At 45.6% G+C, this 24,739-nt stretch overlaps 1 protein-coding gene across 5 annotated transcripts in view, besides 1 other annotated feature; it reads left to right on the forward strand.

Annotated features, from left to right (window-relative positions):
• Positions 1-24,739, forward strand: part of OTOA (otoancorin) — a 96,762-nt gene that overhangs the window by 37,275 nt on the left and 34,748 nt on the right. For 2 of the 5 annotated variants that reach the window (XR_002957775.1, NM_170664.3), the window contains exons 1-8: positions 3,721-3,795; positions 3,927-4,050; positions 8,646-8,861; positions 13,743-13,910; positions 15,665-15,805; positions 17,891-17,949; positions 18,145-18,262; positions 21,663-21,736. Coding sequence is in view for 4 of the 5 variants with exons in the window: in NM_170664.3 (NP_733764.1) it covers positions 3,788-3,795; positions 3,927-4,050; positions 8,646-8,861; positions 13,743-13,910; positions 15,665-15,805; positions 17,891-17,949; positions 18,145-18,262; positions 21,663-21,736 (908 nt within the window). In the remaining variant the exon portion in view is untranslated. The other 3 variants (NM_144672.4, NM_001161683.2, XM_011545748.3) reach the window with 2 other exon arrangements.
• Positions 2,720-2,809: an enhancer, noted in NCBI's record as "active region_10560". NCBI's record gives its function as "activates an Ori minimal core promoter by ATAC-STARR-seq in GM12878 lymphoblastoid cells {active_cell/tissue: GM12878}" and the evidence as "EXISTENCE:reporter gene assay evidence [ECO:0000049][PMID:35858748]".

A 24,739-nucleotide genomic window follows, 5' to 3' on the forward strand; every position in this document is an offset into this window, starting at 1 on the left:
CATCTCCTGTGTGCCAGGCATTTTATGCAACCTTATCAAGTGCTAATTCTGTCTCTCAGCACAGAAATGAAACATTTTAAATACTCAGGACTGGGTCCTGTTCCAAAGTGAATGTGTGATTTCCGTTTAAGTTGAGTCAAGTGTTGGAAATAACTCATGGGTCCCCATATATGAGAACCGCTTGTTATCAGACTCTTAGCTGGGGAGCCCCTGGATGAGATCAGCTCTAGAATTTAGTGACTGTAATGTGATCCTCCCTAAAACCATTCCCAGCAGGGGAGGAGGGACAGGAACTCTACATTCCAGGGGTGTCAGGAAGGGAGTGGGCAATGGGAAGGAGGTGGTGAGTACAGCTCAATACTCCCTCCTTTTCCTTTTATTTATTTATTTTTTTGAGACAGAGTCTTGTCCTGTCACCCAGGCTGGAGTGCAGTGATGTGACCTTGGCTCACTGCAACCTCCACCTCCTGGGTTCAAGCAATCCTCATGCCTCAGCCTCCAGAGTAGCTGGGACTACAGATGTGTGCCACCATGCCCAGCTAAATTTTTTGTATTTTCAGTAGAGATGGGGTTTTGCCATGTTGGTCAGGCTGGTCTCAAACTCCTGACCTCTTGAACTGCTGACCTCAGGTGGTCTGCCTGCCTTGGCCTCCCAAACTGCTGGGATTACAGGCATGAGCCACCACGCCTGGCCCATTCAATCCTGTTTTTTTTTTTTTTTTTTTTGAGACAGAGTCTCACTTTGTTGTCCAGGCTGGAGGGCAGTGGTGCAATACCAGCTCACTACAACCTCCACCTCCAGATTCAAGAGATCCTCCTGCCTCAGCCTCCCAAGTAGCTGGGATTACAGGCGTGTGCCACCACACCCAGCTAATTTTTGTATTTTTAGTGGAGACTGGGTTTCGCCATGTTGGCCAGGCTGGTCTCAAACTCCTGACCTCAAGTGATCCACCCATCTTGGACTTCCAAAGTGCTGAGATTACAGGCGTGAGCCACTGTGCTGGGCCATCATTCAATCCTCTTGTGTCCGTCTCTCAAGGTCTTATTATTGCCACACTGCTCCCATCCCATATTACCTTAAGGTTTTTCAAATGAGCCACTCTTAGGGAATGTACTCATAGGAAACAATTACATCTGTTTCACCTACCTTTAGTAATTTTCACTTATTAGCATGTGTCTCATTTTTCTATGGTTTCACACACACAAAAATAGCCTCATGATTAAGAACATGGGACCTCGAGCCAGACTTCGTGGCTTAATCCTTCCCTGCTGCTTACTAATGGTGTGATCTTTGCTATTTTTACATCACCTCTCTATACTTCCGCTTCCCCATCTGTAAAATGGGAGATAAAAATATGCCTACTGCATTAAGGTCTTTGTAGGGATTTGCACACTTGACACATAGTAAGTGCTCAATGAATAATATTTTTTCTTTTTATTTATTTATTTATTGAGACGGAGTCTCACTCTGTCGCCAGGCTGGAGTGCAGTAGCACAATCTCGGCTTACTGCAACCTCTGCCTCCTGGGTTCAAGTGATTCTCCTGCCTCAGCCTCCCAAGTAGCTGGGACTACAGGCACACGCCACCACGCCCAGCTAATTTCTGTATTTTTAGTAGAGACGGGGTTTCACCATGTTGGCCAGGATGGTCTTGATCTCTTGACCTTGTGATCCGCCCGCCTCGGCCTCCCAAAGTGCTGGGATTAGAGGCATGAACTACCACGCCAAGCCTATTTTTCTTTTATAATTTATTTTTTTAAATTGATAAATAAAAATTATATCTATGGTGTGCAACATGTTTTGAGATATATATTCATTGTGGAATGGCTAAATCAAGCTAATTAAGTTATCATTACCTCACATACTTTTTTTGCGGTGAGAACACTTAAAATCTACTCTTAGCAATTTTTGAGTATATGATACATTGTTATTAACTGTAGTCAGCATGTACAATAGATCTCCAGAACCTATTTTCCTATTTAACTGAAACATTGTGTCCTTTGTCCAAGTCTCTCCAACTCCCTTCCCACCTCCAGCCCCTGGTACCAACCATTCTAAGGCTCTGCTTCCATGAGTATGACGTTTGTTTATTTGTTTTTCAGATTCATAATATAAATGAGGTCATACAGTATTTGTCTTTCTGTGCCTAGCTTATTGCACTTAGCATAAGATCCTCCAAGTTCATCCATGGGGTCCCATATGATAGAATTTCCTTCTTTTTCAAAGCTGAAGAGCATTCCATTGTGTATCCACCAAATTAAAAAAAAAATCCATTCATCCACTGACGTGTTGGACACTTAGGATGATTCCATGTCTTGGCTGTTGTGAATAGTTATTCTCAACGTGGTTATTAACGTTCAGCCCTCACTTCCCCTGAGTCTTCTTTACTCGAAGTTAAGCAGATCTCTTTTCCTCATGAGACACACTTTCAAATCTTTTCCCTGGACCTGGCAGCTCTCCTGTGGGCATGTCTGAATATGTCAATATCGCTCTGAGAGGGTGGAGCCAGGCTGACTGTGGTCAACTAGGTAGTCTTCATTCTAACTCTAAGAGCATTCATTAATGAATGAGTGCTTGGTTTCCACCAGGATGTATGCAAATCAGTTGGTATACCACTTCTCATTTAACTTTCACAATCATCCTCTTTCTTTCACTCATGTTTATTATGATGTGCTACGATGAACAAAGAAAACCTCCCATTTATTAGAGGCTCAGAGAGGGAGAGGCACCCTGTCTCTGTACAGTATGGGAGTACAGAGTGTGCACTGCAGAACTGTGTATAGCGGCCTCACAGAGAAGTTAAGTAACTTGGTGGAGAGCAAACATCTCACAGAGCTGGGCTTCAAACTGCAGTAGGCCTGAATCAATGCTCTTAATGATTAGAAACATTGCTCTCAGTTATACCAGGGTTCCAATCTCACTTCTGCCCTTCCATTGTTTTCCTCCAGTCTTTTTTGTTTTCCTTCTGAAATCTTTGCATCATCTGGGTGGGTACCAGAAGGCATCCTAGAAACAGATCTCTGCCTCAGAGAATCCCTCAGGGTGAGATCAGCTCTAGAATTTAGTGATTGTAATGTGGAAAATGGGGAGTTTTCTGTGGCTACCGGCACCTTTCTTTCCTTATTCCCTTTATTCATCCCAGGTGGAGAGATGGCATAGGTGGATGGATCTACATTTAAGTCCCAGCTCCACCGACTTGCCTTGGACAAATCAAATCTCAGTTTCCCCATCTGTGAAATGGGGCTAATGAGAGCACCTGCCTTGTAGGGTTGCTGTAATGAGATAATGCAGGTAAACGGCTCAGTGCAAGACCTGATAAGTGGTAGCTGCTATTAATATAATCAAGACCCCATTGGTTTGGACTGGGGAGGGGGTGTCGTGTCCACCAGCTCTCAGCGCTCTGTTATGGAACCAAACTGGGTCTGTTTGCCCATGCGCAATGGAAAACCAAACACTGAAGCACTAGGTTTTTGTAGAGAGAAACGGTTACTGTGAATCAACTGCCAAGGAGACAGAAGACAGTGCTCAAATCTGTGTCTCTGAGCTGGGGACTGGGGCAGGTTTTATAGGCGGAGGGTAATGAGACTTGATCTGATTGGGTCTTGCTACAAGGTGATGCTGGGAGGTGTGATCTGATTGGATCATGCCATGAGGTGATGCCAGGACTCATTCTGATTGGATCGTGGACCATGCCATGTGGTGTCCACTTCATAATTCAGCCCCCATTCCTTGGTCTCGTCTGAGCAGTTAGGTTCCGCCTGTGGTTGCACATTTGGTTCATCTGAGGATGTTCAGGTTATGTGACCTTCAACCTGGGAGTCCGTGGCAACTGAAAAACAACTCACCATTTTATTACACAAAATTGAACCAGAATGGGCTGGTTCTGCGGTTACACCTCCACCACCATCCCTCCTCTTCTCACACAGGCTGGGGCTGCTGGTTTGTTTCTACAATGACCTGGAATTGCTGGATGCCACTGTGGCTCAAGTCCTGCTTTACCAGATGATCAAGTGCAGCCACCTGAGGGGCTTCCAGGCTGGCGTCCAGAAGGTACAGCTGGGGTGCAAGGCCCTGAGGCCTCTGCCTCAGTGTCACTAGCCAGAGAAATGGGGAGAACAGCCTAGCTTAGCCTTTGGGAGAAAACACACAGCATTAGTCGGGATTTAAGTCCAGTCACAGCAGATGGCATCTCAAATACTGAGGTAAGTGTAACATCGAAGCCCAGACAGAAAATAGCAAAGGAACAGACCCTGGGGAGATCAAAATTTAATCAGAAAGCTGTCTCAGCCAGGCGCGGTGGCTCATGCCTGTAATCCCAGCACTTTGGGAGGCCAAGATGGGAGGATCATTTGAGGCCAGGAGTTTGATACCAGCCTGGTCAACATCATGAGACCCTTGTCTCTGCAAAAAATACAAAAAAATGGCTGGGCACGGTGGTTCACACCTGTAATCCCAGCACTTTGGGAGGCCAAGGCAGGCAGATCACCTGAGGTCAGTTTGAGACCAGCATGGCCAACATGGTAAAACCCTGTCTCTACTAAAAATACAAAAACAGGCGTGGTGGCATGCGCCTGTAATCCCAGCTACTCAGGAGGCTGAGGCAGGAGAATTGCTTGAGCCTGGGAGGCAGAGGTTGTGGCGAGCTGAGATCGTGCCACTGCACTCCAGCCTGGGTGACAGAGTGAGACTCTGTCTCAAAAGAAAAAAAAAAAAGCCATGTGCCTATAGTGCCAGCTACTTGGGAGGCTGAGGTAGGAGGATCGCTTGAGCCCAGGAGTGCCAGCCTGCAGTGAGCTATGATAGTGACTTTGCACTCTAGTTGGATGACAGAGCAAGACCCTATCTAAAAAAAAGAACAGAAAAGAAAAGAAAGGGACAGCTACTTCGAACTTAAATATGCATACAGATCACCTGGGGATCTTAAATGCAGATTCTGATTCAGGAGCTCTTGGTTGAGGCCCAGGACTCCCATCTTCCTCTTCTTCCTCCTTCTTCCCTTGGCCTCCCAAAGTGTTTGGATTACAGGTGTGAGCCATTGCGCCCAGCTGACGCTGCACTTCCAACAAGCTTCCAGGTGATTCTGGAACCGCTGCTCTGGTGAGCACACCTGGAGCGGCAGGAGATAAAGCAGTGGTTCTCAAACCTGCCTCTAGATTAGTAACATCCCTGCCAGGTGCCACCCTCAGAGAATCTGATGTTATTGTTCTGGGGTGTGGCCTGAGGTATGGCCTGATTTTAATGCTTCTCAGGTGATTTCAATGCAGCCAGGATTGAGAACACTGGATTGCAGGGTGGTTATGAGTTCCCAAGACCAGATGAGCAAACACGCTCTCTCTCATTTTCCTTCCTCTCCATCTCTCTCTTCTTCCTTCCAGTCAAGTCTCAATTCTACCCCCTTCCATTCCACTTTTTGTGGCCCTTTTCAATTTGCTTAAAATCGAAACGATGACATGAAAATAATATTAAATGAAATTTTGATAAAGCCATCAATAATTTCACAGCAGTTTCCCACACATCACCATAAAGTCCCCAAACACATTTGACATTTGAGAGTGTGGTCATCTATTTTGGTCAGCGCATCTTTTTTTTTTTTTTTATAAGATTCATTTTTTTTTTTTTTTGAGTTTCATTCTGTCACCCAGGCTGGAATGCAGTGGCATAATCTCAGCTCACTGCAACCTCCACCTTCCGGGTTCAAGTGGCACAATTTCAGCTCATTGCAACCTTCGCCTTGCCTCAGCCTCTGGAGTAGCTGGGACTACAGGTGCATGCCACCATGCCCGGCTAATTTTTTGTGTTTTTAGTAGAGATGGGGTTTTACCATGTTGACTAGGCTGGTCTTGAACTCCTGACCTCAAGTGATCCACCTGCCTTGGCCTCCCAAAGTACTGGGATTACAGGCGTCAGCCACCGAGCCTAGCCTGTGAATGCATATTTTTGTTTCCAAGGAAAAGAATCCGTCCTAAGCAAGCTCAAGCAAAAATAAGAAGATAAATGTATTTTAAGGCCCAGGGGTCTCAACATGTGGCAGCCCTGACCAAGGAGAAGGTGGCATGCAATTAGATACGAGGGAGCCCTTTGGGATCATCTAGCTCAGTTGTTCTCAAACTGGAGGGTGCATCTAAATCACAGGGAGGGCCTGTTCAAATACAGCTTGTGGCAGCGCTCCAGTTTTGTGGAAGACAATTTTTTGGCATCAGGGACCGGTTTTGTGGAAGACAATTTTTTTCCGTGGACTGGGGCCGGGGGATTGTTTCAGGATGATTCAAGTGCATGACATTTATTGTGCTCTTCCTTCCTTCCCTCCCTTCCTCCCTCCCTCCCTCCCTCCCTACCTTCCTTCTCCTTCCTTTTCTTTCTTTCTTTCTTTCTTTCTTTCTTTCTTTCTTTCTTTCTTTCTTTCTTTCTTTCTTTCTCTTTCTTTCTCTTTCTGTCTCTCTCTTTCTTTCTTCCCTCCTTCCTTCCTTTCTTTCTTCTCTTTCTCACTCTCTCTCTTTCTTTCTTTCCTCCTTCCCTCCCTCCCTCCCCCTCCCCCCCCCATCCCTTTCCCCTTCCCCTCTCCTCTCCTTTCTTGATGGAGTGTCGCTCTGTTGCCAGGCTGGAGTGCGGTAGCACGATCTTGGCTCACTGCAACCTCTGCCTCCCAGGTTCAAGCAATTCTCTGCCTCAGCCTCCTGAGTAGCTGGGACTACAGGTGCACGCCACCACGCCCAGCTATTTATTGTATTTGTAGTAGAGACGGGGTTTCACCATGTGGCCAGGATGATCTCATTCTCTTAACCTCGTGATCCGCCTGCCATGGCCTCTTAAAGTACTGGGACTACAGGCGTGAGCCACCACGCCCGGTCTGTGCACTTTATTTCTATTATTACATTGTAATATATAATGAAATAACTATAGAACTCACCATAATGTGAAATCAGTGGGAGCTCTGAGCTTGTTTTCCTGCAACTAGACGGTCCCATCTGGGGGTGATGAGAGACAGTGACAGATCATCAGGCATTAGATTCTCATAAAGAGCGCACAGACTAGGTCCCTTGCATGCACAGTGCACAATAGGGTTTGCTCTTAGGAGAATCTAATGCCGCTTCTGATCTGGCAGGAGGCAGAGCTCAGGCGGTAATGCTCACTGGCCTGCTGCTCACCTCCTGCTGTGGCTGGTTCCTAACAGGCCAGGGTCCCGGTGGTCCCCATCTGTGACCCGGAGTCTGGGGATCCCTGGATTTCGGAGCCCCACCCAGTCTCTGATTCAGGAGGTCCGGGAGCAGCCTGGCAATCTGCGTTTCTAACAAGTTCCCAGGTGTTGCAGATGCCGCTGGGTGTGCTCCACACTTTGGGAGCTGCCACTGTAGTCCACCCCTTCGTTTTACAGATGTGGAAACTGATTTCTAGGTAAGGCAGTTGCCGAACTTAGAGAACCCAGGCGCTTTGACAGTTGTTTCTTCTACTTCACTCTGCTGCCCCCCAGTGGCTATTTCAATATTGCCAGAAACCCGTTTTGTGCACCTGCCTGAAATGACTACGTTATTACGTAAATTCGGGTGTTAAAATATGAACCATTCTTGTTTTTTGTTACAGAGCTCATTGTATAGTAGGTGACTTTATCACATTCCTTACCGAAAGCAGCTGTAACGCACACTTTACTATCATTAGGCAGGCATATTGCAATAAAATAATTATTAAAATGATCATAGAAATGTGCAAAGAGGTGCAAGAGATAATTTTAAGAAGAGTAAATTGTGCTTCTGTTCATATTACAACTCTGTAAAAACTATGTAGTGTCTCTATATTTATAAAGGTATAAGAAATCTTGGAAGCATATACACCCAATTGCTAATCATGGTTATTTTTATGTGGTAGGATGTTCAGGAGACTTTTACTTTCTTGTACTGTGAAGAGTTATTTTTGGCTGGATGTGGTGGCTCATGCCTCTAATCCCAGCACTTTGGGAGGCTGAGGCATGTGGATTACATTAGGTCAGGAGTTTGAGACCAGCCTGGCCAACATGGTGAAACCCTGTCTCTACTAAAAATACAAACATTAGTGTGGTGGTGGGTGCCTGTAATCCCAGCTACTCAGAAGACTGAGGCAGGAGAATCGCTTGAACCCGGAAGGTGGAGGTTGCAGTGTTGCAGTGAGCCAAGACCACACCATTATACTCCAGCCTGGGTGACAAGAGCAAAACTCTGTCTTAAGAAAAAAAAAAAAGTTATTTTTACACAGATTATAAATTATCGTGAAAAGGCCCCTGGCTATTTAATGAAAGGAAAACAGCCTGTATATATGGATATAGAGTTCAAGGTCACCAGAGGACAACAGATGCTATAAGAGTGTGGTGTAGTTATAAAAGGAACATTTCTTTCTGACATGGATTAAGGTTGATTTAATAACAAATTAATATTTAAATGAAGTACAAAGGGAATTTTTGGCACATGAAAGCTAAGGCCAGAAGAGGTGTCCTCCGTGTGGTGTCTCACTGTCTGGGCATGGCAGGAGTCCCTTTCCTTCATCGTTTCTGAGCCCAAAAGCTTTGATGGAACAGGGTCAAGGGAGGTGCTGTGGAGTCCTAATAGCCCTGGATATGGTCAGAGGGAGCCACCGCCCTGCTTCCTGTCAACACTCATTCCAGTTTGCTCTCCTTCCAGCTCAAAGCAGAACTCCTGGACATTGCCATGGAGAACCAGACCCTCAATGAGACCCTGGGTTCTTTGTCGGATGCAGTTGTAGGTTTGACCTACAGCCAACTGGAATCCCTCTCCCCCGAGGCTGTGCACGGAGCCATCTCCACCCTCAACCAGGTCTCAGGTTGGGCCAAGAGCCAGGTCATCATCTTGTCTGCCAAATACTTGGCCCATGAGAAGGTCAGCTGGAGTTTTAAACTCTTTTTTATTCCCCTAAGATGACCTAAGTGTATTAGACCTGCCAGGCTGCCATAAAAATATACTGTAGATTGAGTGACGTAAACAACATAAATTTATTTCTCACAGTTCTGGAGACTGGGAAGTCCAACATCGAGGTGTCAGAAAGGTAGGTTTCATTCTGAGGCCTCTTCTCTTGGCCTGTAGGTGGCCGCCATCTTGCTGTGTGCTCACCTGACCACATGAGAGCAAGCTCTCTGGTGTTGCGTCTTACAAGGAAACTAATCCCATTGGATCAGGGCCCCACCTGACCCTCATTATCTCATGACCTCATCTAACCCTTAAAGGCCTCTTAAAGGTCTCACCTCCCAATGCCATCACATTAGGGGTTAGGACTTTGACATATGAATTCTTGGGAGACACAAATATTTAATCCATAACAATCAGTTATACACACACAGCAGGGGGCAACCAATCAGTAAGAAGATGATGCTGAGGAGGACTGCCTGGGTTCAAATCCTTGCTCTGCCATTTACTAGCTGTGTGACACTAGGCAATTTGCTATTTTCACTTTGACTCAGTTTCTCTATTTGTAATATGTGGACAACAATAGCACTTACTGCCGGGCAAGGTGGCTCACACCTGCAATCCCAGCACTTTGGAAGGCTGAGGTGGGAGGATCACCTGACGCCAGGAGTTTGGGACCAGCCTGATCAACATGGTGAAATCCCGTCTCTACTAAAAATACAAAAATTAGCTGGGCGTGGTGGTGCATGCCTGTACTTCCAGCTACTTGGGAGGCTGAGGCAGGAGGATGGCTTGAACCTGGGAGGCAGAGGTTGCAGTGAGCAGAGATTGTGCCACCACACTCCAGCCTGGGCGACAGAGCAAGACTCCATTTCAAAAAAAATTAAACAACAACAACAACAAATCAGTAGCACTTATCCTGTAGCATTGCTGCGAATATTATGTGAGTTGGTACACATGAAGAAGCTAGACCACCAGGTGACACCACAGAGTAGGAGCTCAAGGGGCATTAGCCATCCCTGAGTGGGATCAACGTGTGGGACTCATCCCAGGATTTTCCTGCCTGCTGTTAAGCTGCTATTAGGTTGATGCAAAAAGTAATTGCGGTTTTTGCCATTACTTTGGGATTAGGGATGATGCTATTTTATTCCAATCTTGGGCTGCAGAGAGGGAACTGTCAGGCAGACAGTCCTCTTTGGTGGGGACAGGAGTCTTAATCTGTGTTCTTGCTGCTCCTGGGGTGGAAAATGGACATTCTTTTGGGGACAATTAATGTCCCTGGGTTGGGTCCAGTCCAGAGGGCTCCAAATCTGGGAGACTTGAGTTCTAAGCATTTTGGTGTCATCTAATTTTTTTTTTGATACGGAGTCTTGCCCTTGTCGCCCATGCTGGAATGCAATGGCACAACCTCAGCTCATTGCAACCTCCGCCTCCGGGTTCAAGCAATTCTCCTGCCTCAGCCTTCCGAGTAGCTGGGATTATAGGCACCCACCACCACACCCAGCGAATTTTTGTGTTTTTAGTAGAGACGAGGTTTCGCCATGTTGGCCAGGCTGGTCTCGAACTCCAGACCTTGTAATCCGCCTGCCTCAGCCTCCCAAAGTGCTGGGATTACAGGCATTAGCCACCGTGCCTGGCTTTTGGTGTCCTTCTCGTTTAGTCCACACTCCTGGCCACTTCCCAGGATGCAAACTGGCTCACAAGGATTGGATTAGGACCCATTCCAATCAAATAATAATAACAAACATTTGTTTATTTTTGGCTTCTGGATATTAATTTTAATTACTTTGAAACAACATAATTTACTACCAGATGTTTAACAAGCACCCATTATAATTGCTAAACTGTGAATTTAGTTTTAACTGTGTCTGACCAACTATACAAAACTCATCAATTTTTATTTTGACAAAAGGTAGTAGGCTGGGCATGGTGGCTTATGCCTGTAATCCCAGCACTTTGGGAGGCCAAGATGAATGGATCACTTGAGGCTAGGGGTTTGAGACCAGCTGGACAACATGGTGAAACCCTGTCTCTACTAAAAATAGAAAAATTAGCTGGCCATGATGGTGCACACCCGTAATTTCAGCTACTTGGAAGGCCGAAGCAGAAGAATTACTTGAACCCAGGAGGCAGAGGAGGTTGCAGTGAGCCGAGATCATGCCACTGTACTCCAGACTGGGCTGAGCTACAGAGCAAGACTCTGTCTTAAAAAAAAAAAAGAAAAAAGTAGTAGGAATCCCAAAGAATAAAGGAGAGACTACTCCTTAAAGGTCATGTTTACTAACCTAGCACCGTAATTCTAGTGTTAGTACCTCCCATGCAGCTTGAAGGAGGATATGGGAAGAGGTGAAGATGTTGAAAATGTAAGGGGCCCCATTTTGCTTGTTCTAAAGCAAAATACCACAGTGTCTCACAAGGAAGAAAATCACTAGGCCAGGCACGATGGCTCACGCCTGTAATCCCAGCACTTTGGGAGGCCGAGACAGGCAGATCACGAGGTCAGGAGATCAAGACCATCCTGGCTAACACGGTGAAACCATGTCTCTACTAAAAATAAAAAAAAAAAAATTAGCTGGGCATGGTGGCGGGTGCCTGTAGTCCCAGCTACTCGGGAGGCTGAGGCAGGAGAATGGCGTGAACCTGGGAGGCGGTGCTTGCAGTGAGCCGAGATCGCATCACTGAGGTTGGAAATGAAAACAAAAGCTTTTGATTCAGGTGGTAAAATGAAAACAAAAGCTTTTGATTCAGGCGGTAAAGGGGTTTAAGAGTTATAGAGTAGAATCCATGCATCCAGAAGGCAGTGCTGGAGTCGGCCTCAGGAACTGGGGGGTTTCTTCTTCTTTTTTTGTTTTTTGAGACAGGTTCTCACTATGTTGCCCAGGCTGGAGTGAAGTGATCTGATCTTGGCTCACTTCAGCCTTGACCCCCCAGGCTCAGGTGATCCTCCCACCTCAGCCTCCTGAGTAGCTGGGACCACAGGCACATGCCACTACGCCGGGCTGATTTTTGTATTTTTTTGTAGAGATGGGATTTTGCAATGTTGCCCAGGCAGATCTCAAACTCCTGGGCTCAAGCAATCTACTCGCCTTGGCCTCCCAAAGAGAAGGAGTAGGGAATTTCTTCTTGGCATCCAAGTCTTTTTAAATTTCTTCAAGTTTTTAAAGCTGGGTTTGGTATGTCATGGTTCTGAGCCAGATATATTCCAACCACATTCCCCAAAGTAAATCCAAGTGGGAACTGGAGCAGGATGTCGGTAGAGAGGGCGAGGGAGGGATGAAGGGCAGCTGCAGCTCCGAGGGCTGGTCCTAGCCTGCTTCCTCCATCGCGGGGCCAAGGGAGGGAGGGTGTGGAATAACAAACATTTACTGAACACTTACTATGTGCCAGGTTGTGTTCTAAGTGAATTAATAACTTAATCCAACAATCCTCTGAAGTCAGTAGTGCTGTAGTCTTCATTTTCCAGTTCATTCTTGTGAGGTACAGAGTGTGTAAGGGAACTGGAAAAGGCCACGTGAAAGTTACGCAGCTGGGATTGAACCCAGGGCACCTGGCCTCAGAGCCATCTTGTTTAACTCCTGTGCTCACTGTCTCCATTATGGCACCATGACCAATGCCCACGCACTCCCACTTTCTGACTCAGGTACCAGGCCAGCCCATTCATCTGGTCTCTTCTAGCCTCGTGGTGACTTTATGTTGAAGGCTTTGAATCCTTGTTTCTGGACCTTGACTGGGGCTCCATGGGTCCACCTTGACAGTCCTCTCTGAATTTGATTTTAGGGAGTTGAGGGAGACGGTTTTGTTCCCTCCCAGCCCAGGACAAAGTGGTTTGTCTCTTTCCTAATACCCAACTCTTCCTACTGAGGGGTGAGGCCACTTTTACTCAGAAGGCAAGAGGTCAAAAGGTCTTGCCTTCTTTGAAGACAGCATGAGATCACCCATTATACACAGAATAACTAAAGGAACCCACTCAGCTGTCTTTTCATAGAACCAAAGCATGTCCTTGATTATATGGAAAACTATCTAGCATCTTCACTCTAAAGGAAGGAAAAAAAACCCAAGTATAATTTCTTTCTTTCTTTCTCTTTCTTTCTCTCTCTCTCTTTCTTTCTTTCCTTTCTTTCTTTTTTCTTTCTTTCTTTCTTTCTTTCCTCCTTCCTTTCTTTCTTTTCCTTTCTTCCTTCCTTCCTTCCTTCCTTCCTTCCTTCCTTTCTTTCTTTCTTTCTTTCCTTCTCTCTTTCTTTCTCTCTCTTTCTCTCTTTCTCTCTTTCTTTCTCTTTCTTTCTCTTTCTTTCTTTCCTTTCTTTCTCTCTTTCTTTCTTTCTCTCTCTCTCTCTTCTTTCTTTCTTTCTTTCCTCTCCCTCTCTCTCTCTCTCTTTCTTTCTTTCTTTCTTTCTTTTCTTTCTGACAGAGTTTTGCTCTTGTTGCCCAGTCTGGAGTGCAATGGTACAATCTCAGCTCACTGCAACCTCTGCCTCCTGGGTTCAAGCAATTCTCCTGCCTCAGCCTCCCAAGTAGCTGGGATTACAGGAACCTGCTACCATGCCTGGCTAATTTTTGTATTTTTAGTAGAGATGGGGTTGCACCATGTTGGCCAGGTGGTCTCGAACTCTTGACCTCAGGTGATCCACCCGCCTGGCCTCTCAAAGTGCTGGGATTACAGGCGTGAGCCACCATGCCTGGCCAACTCTCTTTCTTGATAGAAGGAAGGAAGGCCTGTGGAGGCAGCATCTGTCTGGCTCACTGCTGTGCCCCTAAGGTGTCACCCATCCCTATACTTGGCACATAGATGGGCTGAGTGCACGTTGGAGAGGTGAAAGGCGGGAGCAGAGCCTGACTGCGCAGCCGCTCCTCTTCCAGGTGCTGTCTTTCTACAATGTCAGCCAGATGGGCGCACTGCTGGCTGGGGTCAGCACCCAGGCCTTCTGCAGCATGAAACGCAAGGACATCTCGCAGGTCCTGAGAAGTGCCGTCTCCCAGTATGTATCCGACTTGTCACCTGCCCAGCAGCAAGGTATCCTCAGCAAGGTGAGAGGAAGATGTCTGGTGCTCAGCCACATGTCACAGGGGGTATGTTTTTGGGGTTGGTGAGTGGGCTGTGACTTTGGGCCATGAACCCAGGGCTGGGATTGTCTCAGCTGTTGGTGTCTGGGGTGGCTCTGCCTTCTCCTGGTGGCACACCTTCCTTCCTTTCCAGACGGAGCCCTTCAGTCATGCTGTCATTCTTCCCAGACCCCTTTGTTCTGCCAGACAGTCTAATCTGGAAGACTTTTCTTAAATCAGGTTTCCTGATCTTATAACACTTCAGGTTCAAGTTTGTTTTTTTTTTTTGAGACAGTCTTTCTGTGTTGCCCAGGCTGGAGTACAGTGGTATGATCATAGCTCACCACAGTCTCCTGGGCTCAAGCAATCCTCCTGCCTCAACCTCCTGAGTAGCTGGGACCACAGGCATACATCACCATGCCTGGCTAATTTTTTTAACTTTTTGTAGAGACATGGTCTTGCTATGTTGCGCAGGCTAGTCTCAAACTCCTGGCCTCAAGCCACCATGTCTGGCTAATTTATTAATTTTTTGTAGAGATGGAGTATTGCTATGTTGCCCAGGCTGGTCTCCAACTCCTGGCCTCAAATAATCCTTCTGCTTCGGCCTCCCAAAGTGCTGGGATTATAGGTGTGAGCCACTGTGCCTGGCCTAAAATTTGTTTTTCAAATCTAAAAATAAACCCAAAGTCCTAGGGTGCATCTGAAAGCCCTTTTCATGGTCCACAGCCATGTCCGTATTCTGTTTTTTTGTTTGTTTGTTTAGATAGGGTCTTGCTCTATTACCCCAGCCAGCATGCAGTGGCGTGATCTTGGTTCACTGCAGCCTCCACCTCTGGGGCTCAAGGGATCCTCCCACCTCAGCCTCCCAAGTAGCTGGGACTACAGGCCTGTGCTGCTCACTAATTTTTGTTTTTCTAGAGATGGGGTCTTGCCATGTTGCCCAGGCTGGTCTCAAACTCCTGGGCTCAAGTGATCTACCTGCCCCGGCCTCCTACAGTGCTGGGATTACAGGTGTGAGCCACCATGCCTGGCCCCTTTTTTACTTGTCAGGGAGTCTTTTGACATCTTGCTCTATCAGGTCCGTTCTGTCCAATGGCAAAATCTGTTAAGAAACCAAAACTTGGCCAGGTGAGGTGGCTCACGCCTGTAATCGCAGCACTTTGGTAGGCCAAGGTGGGCGGATCATGAGGTTAGGAGATTGAGACCAGCCTGGCCAACATGGTGAAACCCCGTCTCTACTAAAAATACGAAAAATTAGCCGGGTGTGGTAGTGCACTTCTGTAGTCCCAGCTACTCGGGAGGCTGAGGCAGGGAAATTGCTTGAACCCAGGAGGCGGAGACTGCAGCGAGCCAATATCATGCCACTGAATTCCAGCCTGGCGACAGAGGGAGATTCCCATCTCAAAAAAAGAAAAAAACCCTAAAACCTAAGGGGTTTGGCCTAAAACACCAATACCTTGCAGATAGCAAGTAGCCCATACAGTTAAAATAAAGAAATAAGGAGCACGGGTTTTGGAATCAGACAGACTTGGGCTTGAATGTCACTTACTGACTTTCAACTCATCACACTTTAAGTCTCTGTTTCCTCACCTGTGAAATGGGGATGATGCTACTCTCCACTTCCTAGGGTTGCTGAGCGGGTCTGATGGATTTTATTGCCTGTGATGTAGTGCCTGGCCCTTCCTCAAAGCTCAATGCATTTTTTACAATGTTGTTTTGTTGCTTCTCGCTTCTGGCAGATGGTCCAAGCGGAAGACACTGCCCCAGGCATCGTGGAGATACAAGGGGCTTTCTTTAAGGAAGTGTCTCTCTTTGATTTAAGGAGGCAACCTGGATTCAACTCTACAGTCCTGAAGGATAAGGAACTTGGAAGGAGCCAGGTATTACCATGAAACACAGATCGATCCTGTATTTCTGACTATCTGTCTTGTGAGAATGAATGGTCTGTTTTAAGGTTAATTTGATAAAAGAAATTTATTTCTGTGGGATTAGTATAGGAGGCAGAATAGTATAGTGTTAAGAATTTGGACAGGCTGAGGCAGGAGGATCGCTTGACGCCAGGAGTTCGAGACCAGCCTGGGCAACATAGCAAGCAAGATCCTGTCTCTACAAAAAGTTAAAAAATTAGCCAGGCATGGTGATGCATGTCTGTGGTCCCAGCTACTCAGGAGGCTGAGACAGGAGGATCACATGAGCATGGGAGTTCCGCAATGCAGTGAGTTATGGTCATGCTACTCCACTCCAGTCTGGGCGACAGAGCGAGACCCTGTCTCTTAAAAAAAAAGTTAGACAAGACCTGAGCATGAATTCTGGCTCCCACTTATTTATTAGCTTTGGAGAAGTTCCTTATATGGCCTCAGTTTTCTCATGTGCGAAATGGGGATAATTTTGATAATAAAATGAGGGTCACTGATACATGCCACCTGGGCTGTGTACTGTAAGTATTCGCGGCTATTATGTGTATTATTAAATGCTGTGAGCATTGAGGCCGCTTGGGGGGATGGTGCTGTTGAAGTGGATGCTCTGCCTTAGTACCATCGTTGACTACCTTTGTATTCAGTCAGTCTTCATTACATGCATCCAGCAAATGTTTATCAAGCACAGCCCAACAGTGCGCCAGGCACTGCTCACAGTGCTGAGTGTGCAAAAGTGAATGAAACGACACAAATCCCTGTCTGTTCCAGGCGCTCTTGCTCAGGGTCTCTCATGAGGCTGGATGATGTCCCGCTGATCTATTGCTGTGTCACAAACCACCTCTAAATTTAGTGACAGTGGCAACCGTTTTATTTTATTCTGTTTTATTTTTTGAGACAGAGTCTCTCTCGGTCACCCAGGCTGGGGTGCAGTGGCACAATCTTGGCTCACTGTAACCTCCTCCTCCTGAGTTCAAGCAATCCTCATGGCTCCACCTCCTGAAGTAGCTGGGATTACAGGCACACACCATCATGCCCGGCTAATTTTTGTATTTTTTATAGAGACAGGGTTTCACCATGTTGGCCAGGCTGGTGTCGAACTCTTGACCTCAAGTGATCTGCCCGCCTTGGCCTCCCAAAGTCCTGGGATTACAGGCGTGAACCAGGGCACCCAGCCAATAGTTTTATTTTGGAAAATACATTCTGCCACCGAAGACTTCAAGATACTTTTGTCTCGGCCATTGAGCTGATGGGATTGCTGTTTCCTGAGATGGGGAAGACCATGGGAGGGTCCCAGAATTTGACCCTGAGCCCAGGAAAATCTCTGGGGCCACAAACAGTGTCCAGAACTTTCCTCCATCGTCCATTCCTTTTGCCTGGGCTTTTGTGCTGCTTTTTGGCTCTCAGCTACCATGTCTAATGCTAGCTCATAATTTATTCTGTCTGGGGAATGATACTCAAAGTTTCAGAGTCTATAAAATAGACAAATGTAGTACTTGATTGCGTCTGCAAGTTAGGGATTCTGTAAAATTATGTTCCTTAAAACAAATGACTCCCCTGTCTACTAGGCATTGTTCTAGAGTGCTCATTGGGGGGTGGTTTGAAGACAGTGCATGCTGCTAGCTGCAGGTACTTTATTGCTGGTGCTTTCTAGCCCATCCTGGTTTATTCTGGGATGCCTGGTGTTCAGAACCTGGCAGGTGCACATGTGAATAGGAGACACAGGGAGTTCTCAACTGGTCAGCAGCTTCCTAAAGCACAGGAAGTAAAACTCCAGCCCTGCCACCAATGTCTTTGCCTCTCATCTGCCTCATGGGGTGTAGAGAATCATCTGGAGTGTGAGAGTGGGGCTCTGGAATTACCTTGACACTGGTTCAAATCCAGGCACTGCCACTTAGCAATGGTCTAGTCCTAGGTAACTCACATAGCCTGTTAAGCCTCCATTTCCCCATCTGTAAAATGGGATTGTGGAATGCCTTCCTGATAGGGCCTCACAGTGTTGGGCACACGCTGAGTGTGCCATCAGTGCTAACGATCATTCTCTTCTCGCAGGCTCTGTTCCTGTATGAGCTTCTGTTAAAGACCACCAGAAGGCCTGAGGAGCTTTTGAGGTAGGAAAATGTAACTCGGCCTGGGTGCTGAACAGGCCTTTCAGAGCCTTCTGCCAGAGCAGCCTACTTTTCCAGGTGGGAGAGTTAGGCAGTCACATCTGTAGCTTGTATCTGATCATATCTGCCTTCTCTCGCTCTTTCTTTCCTCTCCTCCTCACTTCCTTCCTCTCCCGAGTGCCTTGTTTTGTTTTCTAGTGCTGGGCAGCTGGTCAAAGGCGTGACCTGCTCACACATTGATGCCATGAGCACTGACTTCTTTCTGGCCCATTTCCAGGATTTTCAGAACAACTTCGCCCTGCTTTCACCCTATCAGGTACCGTTAAAGCATTTTCCAGCTTCTAATTCTCTCTCCCTACCCCAGTCACTGGGCCTGGATTGGCTGTGGCATCTAAAGATCTTTATGCCAGAATCATTCAGACGCAAGTGATGACTTAGGGCCAAAGATTGAGCCAGGTTTTTTCCAGTTTCTTTTTAAACAGCTCCAAATACCCACATCACTACAGCCAAAGAATCAACAGATTGGTTATTCCATACTCAAATTTAAGCCTTAAAATATATTCATAAGGGACAGTATTTTGTGTGTTCATAATTATGTTCCCGTGGGATGGAAGGTACTCCTTCAGCTAATATTCCAACACTTTCCAGGAGTAGCTGTGAATGCAAACAGTACTCTGAGAACATTTTCTTTCTCACTTAAAACTTCATTTTCTAAAAGGTTATGGAGGCTATTTAACCTTTGGGGAGACTAGAAGCAGTAACTGATTTCTTTTTTTTTTTTTTTTGAGACACAGTCTTGCCCTGTCACCCAGGCTGGAGTACAGTGGCATAATCATGGTTCATTGCAGCCTCAACCTCCTGGGCTCAAGAGATCCTTCCGTCTCAACTTCTTGAGTAGCTGGAACTAAAGGCACACACCACCATGCCTGGCTAATTTATTTATTTTTTGCAGAGATAGGGTCTTGATATGTTGCCCAGGCTGGTCTCAAATTCCTGGGCTCAAGTGATCCTCCTGCCTCAGCCTCTCAAAGTGCTGGGATGACAGGCATGAGCCACTTCACCCAGCCAGTGACTGATTTTTCAGTGTCTAAGCTAGTAAACACAGGCCTTACAGCATTTGAACTTTTGGTGTGAACCGCTGGCTTACAGACTCCTGTAATGGATATTAAAAAGCACCTTCTCAACTCTGGCCTTGTGTTTCAGACCAGAATGAAGAATTTCCAAAGAGTAAATTATCTCCCAGAAAACCAGGAAGCATAGAGTGCTTGGTGTATAATCCTTCAAGATCATTACAGGAATATGCAAAGTTTTAATGAAGCTCTCTCATTCCCTTGGACTGTTAATTCTGTTAGTGATTCTCAAAGTTGAGCTTGCATCAGCATTGTGTGGAAGGCTGTAAAAACACAAATTGGGGGCCCCACTCCCAGAGTTTTACATATAGTAGGTAAGGGGTGAGGCCTAATACTTTGCATTTCTAATCAGTTTGCTGGTACAAACCACTGAACTATATTAAAAGACCTGCCCAGGTGGGCAAGCCAATAACTGAGCAAATGGATGGAAGCTAGACCTGCTTTGAGGAAGACCTACATGTTCGAGCAGGAAGAGTTGCCCCAGTGAAGGTGCTTTCCTAGGCTTCCAGCTCTCAGAGCCTTCAAATACCAGTTAATTAGAAAATTTGCCTTTCTCGTTTATATTTTTACTAAAACACATTATTATTATTATTATTATTATTATCATTATTATTATTATTGAGACAGGACCTTGCTCTGTTGCCCAGGCTGGAATGCAGTGGTTCAATCTCACTGCAACCTCCGCCCCTGGGTTCAAGTGATTCTCCTGCCTCAGTCTCCTGTCTAACTGGGATTCTAGGTGCGCACCACCACACCTGGCTAATTTTTGTATTTTTAGTAGGGACGGGGTTTCATCATGTTGGCCAGGCTGGTCTTGAACTCCTGACCTCCAGTGATCCACCAGCCTCAGCCTCCTAAAGTGCTGGGATTACAGGCATGAGCCACCACGCCCATTCTGAAAACACATAATTATTACACACACACACACACACACACACACACACACACACACACACACACAAACAACCAATACAGAGAAAGTAAAATTTCCCCAAATTTTCCCCAGAGCAGTTGTTCTCAACAGAGTACTGTTTTGCCCTCTTAGGGGACTTTTGGCCATGTCTGCAAACATTTTTGGTTGTCACAACCGGAGCAGAGCTACTGGCCTCTAGTGGGTAGAGGCCAGGGGTGGAGCTCAACATCCTACAATGCGTAGGACAGCACCACTACACAGAGGTACCTGGTCGAAAATGTCAATAATACTGAGGTGAGCAACTGTGTTTCAGAGGTAACTATAAAGAACAGTTTGCTATTACTTTTGAGAGTTTTCTTTTATATATAAAATATAGGCCGGTCACAATGACTCATGCCTGTAATTCTAGCACTTTGGGAGGCTGAAGTGGGAGGTTCATTTGAGGATAGGACTTTGAAACCAACCTGGGAAACATACAGCAAGACTCTAACTCTACAAAAAAATACAAAAATTAGCCAAATATGGTGGCACATGCCTGTAGTCCTAGCTACTTGGGAAACTGAGGCAGGAGGATCACTTGAACCTGGGAGTTCAAGGTGGCAGTGAGTTATGATGGAGTCACTGCATTTCAGCCTGGGTGACAGAGTGAGACTCTATCTCTAAACCAAATTTTAAAAAAGTATCTATATGTAATATAAAAACCACAAGTGGGCCGGGCACAGTGGCTCACGCCAGTAATCTTAGCACTTTAGGAGGCCGAGATGGGTGGATTACTTGAGGTTAGGAGTTCGAAACCAGCCTGGCCAACCTAAAAAAATTTTTAAAAAATACAAAAAAAAAACCCCAAAAAAACCCACTAAAAATACAAAAAAAAAAAAAAATTAGCCGTGCATGGTGGGGGGTGCCTGTAATCCTAGCTACTCGGGAGGCTGACGCAGGAGAACTGCTTGAACCTGGAAGGCGGAGGTTGCAGTGAGCTGAGATTACACCACTGTACTACAGCCTAGGTGACAGAGTGAGACTGTCTCAAAAAAAAAACAAAAAAAAAAAACACAAGTGAGCTCATACTATACATGCTGTTCTGTTTATATATATAGCTAAGATATATATATGTATAAAACTATATATATAGTTAAGCTATATATAACTATATGTATAGTTAAGCTATATATAACTATATGTATAGTTAAGCTATATATATAGTTTAACAGAATTGTGTGTACAATATGAGCCCATTTGTGGTTTTTACATTATATATAATATAACTATATATATGCACATGCATAAAATAGCACAGACATCATTTAGTGTTAATATATATATAAATCTACCTTATTAAAACAAAGTAGGTGCACTATTCCATTGTATGTATATACCATAATTTACTTAACCAATCCCCTGCTGAGGAACATTAAAATTATATCTCCCTTTCTTGCAGATATAAGCAAAATTGCGATGAGCATTCTCACACTTAAATGTCCGTGTTCATGTTTGTTATTACCTCAGCGTTCTCATCCATAAACTGGGCACAGTAGTGGTACTTACATCATAGGGTGCTCTATTGCATAAATGAACACGTATGAAGCACTTAGAATAGTACCTGGCACATGGAAAGCACTGTGTTTGTTCTTCTTCTTACTGCATTAAATCCCCAGAACTGCTTAATCTTTCAGGTTAATTGTTTGGCGTGGAAATACTGGGAAGTTTCCAGATTGTCTATGCCACCTTTCCTCTTGGCTGCACTCCCGTAAGTGAACATCAGCCCCCACCTTCTGGCTCATCAGTGAGATCGGTGGGAATCACTGAAGTCAAAATGATTCTCTCCCCACTGGGTTTTCTTCAGGAACCAGAGGCAGAGTGGAGGATGCCTTAGAGAGTTAAGCCCTTGAGATCCAGGATTTCAATTCTGAGTATCACACAGACATTTGAGACAGACCTTCTTGCTTTTCCTGTTATCTAAAAACCAAGCCAAAGCAACCCAAGCCTGAATGAGTGTCAGTGAGGCAGGTCCCATCTGGCCTGGCTTTGCGGCTGTGCCAGGCTCCAGGGGAATCAGAGTTGAGGGGAGCAGTAGGCGTTTCTCCTGGCATGTGTGAGCTTTTGGGCCTGCAGGGTGGCCCTGCTTTTCAAACATGATCTGGACATTGTTTCTCTCCTTCTCTCCTTCTTTATTTCCCTCTACCTTTTTTTGCTCTTATTGTCTTCGTTCATTCAAAAAAAAAAAAAAGTTCATTGAGTACTTGCTGTGTGCTAGTTCTCAGATAGCTAAATTTTCTATCTGAAGATTTAGAAATTCCTATTAATTTATAAGACCTTATAATCTCATGGTGGGAGAGGGAATAGACAAACATGAAGCCAATTATATCAGGTTGATATTTGGTTGAAAGCAACAGAACTGAAACTGAAACTGGCTTATGCAATAAAAGGGAATTTTTTGTTCAGGTAACTGGAAAGTTCAGAGAGGGACTTCAGGCATGGCTCGATCTAGGGGTGCAAATGATGTCATTTGTCTCTTGTCCCAGCTTTTCTCTGTTGGCTTCACTATCAGGCAAGTTGTTCCTCTGTGGGAACCCTGGAAGATCTAAGGTTAAATTTTCCCAGTTTCATATTCAGGGAAAATAGAAAAATGTTCTCTTCCCATCATTCTCAATACACATCTTGGGTTTGACTCTCATTGACCTTAATTGGGCGAATTTGTTTTCCTTGAACCAATCAGTGAGGTTGGGAGGATGGGTAACTTTGACTGACTTCAATCTGTATTGCACCCCTGGAGCTGGAGAGAAACCACAAGGACTTAGAGTGAGGGAGATGGTTCTCCAAGAAAAACTAGGTGCTTTCCAAGAAAGCCAGGTGCTGTTACACACCTCTGTTAGGACAGAGGTGGAAGAACATGTTTGGGGGAAGATGTTGAATCTGGTTCTTGAACAGTCAAGTGGTGGGTTTGACTAGGCCAGATGGGTTTCATGCAGCCTTTCTCAACTTTTTTATTGCCTTCCAAAGGAGAGGCAAAGGGGAGGGATAATGAGGACTGGACATAGAGGAGGGAATATCACCCATAGACTGGAGAGACAGGGGAGACCGAACTAATGCTGGATAGAGAGTTTAAGATGGACATTCCAGGCAGTGGAATGGGGATGTCCGGTTCAGCAGTGGGTAAGAAAAGCCAATCACTCTGGGAACACATGGGGGTATATCTGCAGAGTAGATAGGGGAGAGAAGGCCAGAGAGTTAAGGGACATCAGATCATGGGGGCTTTGTAAAGTGAGGTGTTTCACACATATTCTGTGTGCAGCCATCAGATTTATATTTCAGAAAGATCATAGCCACTACCCACATAGAGGATAGAATGCAGGGAGGCTGAATGGAAAGAAGGGAGACAGCTGAAGATTATTTCAGTAACCCAGATCTTGGCATGGCACTTCTACCACTCATTCATGTCTCAGCTCAAATGGAACTGCCTTAGAAGGGGCTCGTTTGATTATCCCCATTGTCATTCTCTTTTACAGAGCCATTTTATTTTCTTCCTTACATTAATTAATTAATTAATTAATTTATTTATTTTTGAGACAGAGTCTCCCTCTGTCACCCAGGCTGGAGTGCAGTGGTGTAATCTTGGCTCATTGCAACCTCCGCCACCTGGGTTCAAGAGATTCTCCTACCTCAGCCTCCCCAGTAGCTGGGATTACAGGTGTGCGCCACCACGCCTGGCTAATTTTTGTATTTTTTGGTAGAGACAGGGTTTCACCGTGATGGCCAGGCTGGTCTCAAACTCCTGACCTCAGATGATCTGCTTGCCTCGGCCTCCCAAAGTGCTGGGATTACAGGCGTGAGCCACCATGCCAGCTATTAATAGCTCAAATGTCTTGTTTTGTTCACTGGTTTCTGTGTTTCTTCTCTCTGCTAGAATTAAGGACCACTTGTGTCTTGTTCATTGTTATATTTGGTGCCTAGAACAGTGCCTGGCTTACTGTAGTTGCTTTGTAGATATTTGCTGGATGAATGAAGAAATAAATAAGACAGTGGTACTGGGAATGGAGAAGTTAGAATAGATTTTTTTGTTGTTGTTGTTTTGAGACGGGGTCCCATTCTGTCACCCAGGTTGGAGTGCAGTGGTGCGATCTCAGCTCACTGCAACCTCTGTCTCCCAGGTTCAAGTGATTCTTCCACTTCAGCCTCTAGAGTAGTTGAAACCCCAGGTGTGCATGCCACCATGCCCAGCTAATTTTTTGAATTTTTGGTAGAGATGGGATTTCACCATGTCGCTCAGGCTGGTCTCAAACTCCTGATCTCAGGTGACCCACCTTGGCCTCCCAAAGTGCTGGGATTATAGCTGTGAGCCACCACACCTGGCCAGAAGTAAGAACAGATTGGGATAATGCTAAGGAGATAGCAATGACAGGCTTGGGATAAAGAAAAAAAGGAGTGTGGGATAGCATAGAGGCGGAAGAACATGTTTGGGGGAAGACGTTGTATCTGGTTTTGGAACAGTGAAGTGGTGGGGTTGAGTAGGCCGGATGGGTTTCATGCAGACTTTCTCAACTTTTGTTAATGCCTTCCAAAGGAGAAAATTTTAATTTCTCCTGAATGAAAGAAATTATACACTGAGGAAAAATATTTTGAGTAGGAATGAGCTTCAGTGGGTTACAGATCGTTGTCATAACAGTCTTTTTTATCTCCATCCAAACCAGTTTCTCCTTCTTGAGGGTGACTTTGACCCTGTTGAGAATACATTGTCAAGAGCTGAAGGATC

This window comes from Homo sapiens, chromosome 16, assembly GCF_000001405.40.
Source record: "Homo sapiens chromosome 16, GRCh38.p14 Primary Assembly".
NCBI lineage: Eukaryota > Metazoa > Chordata > Mammalia > Primates > Hominidae > Homo > Homo sapiens.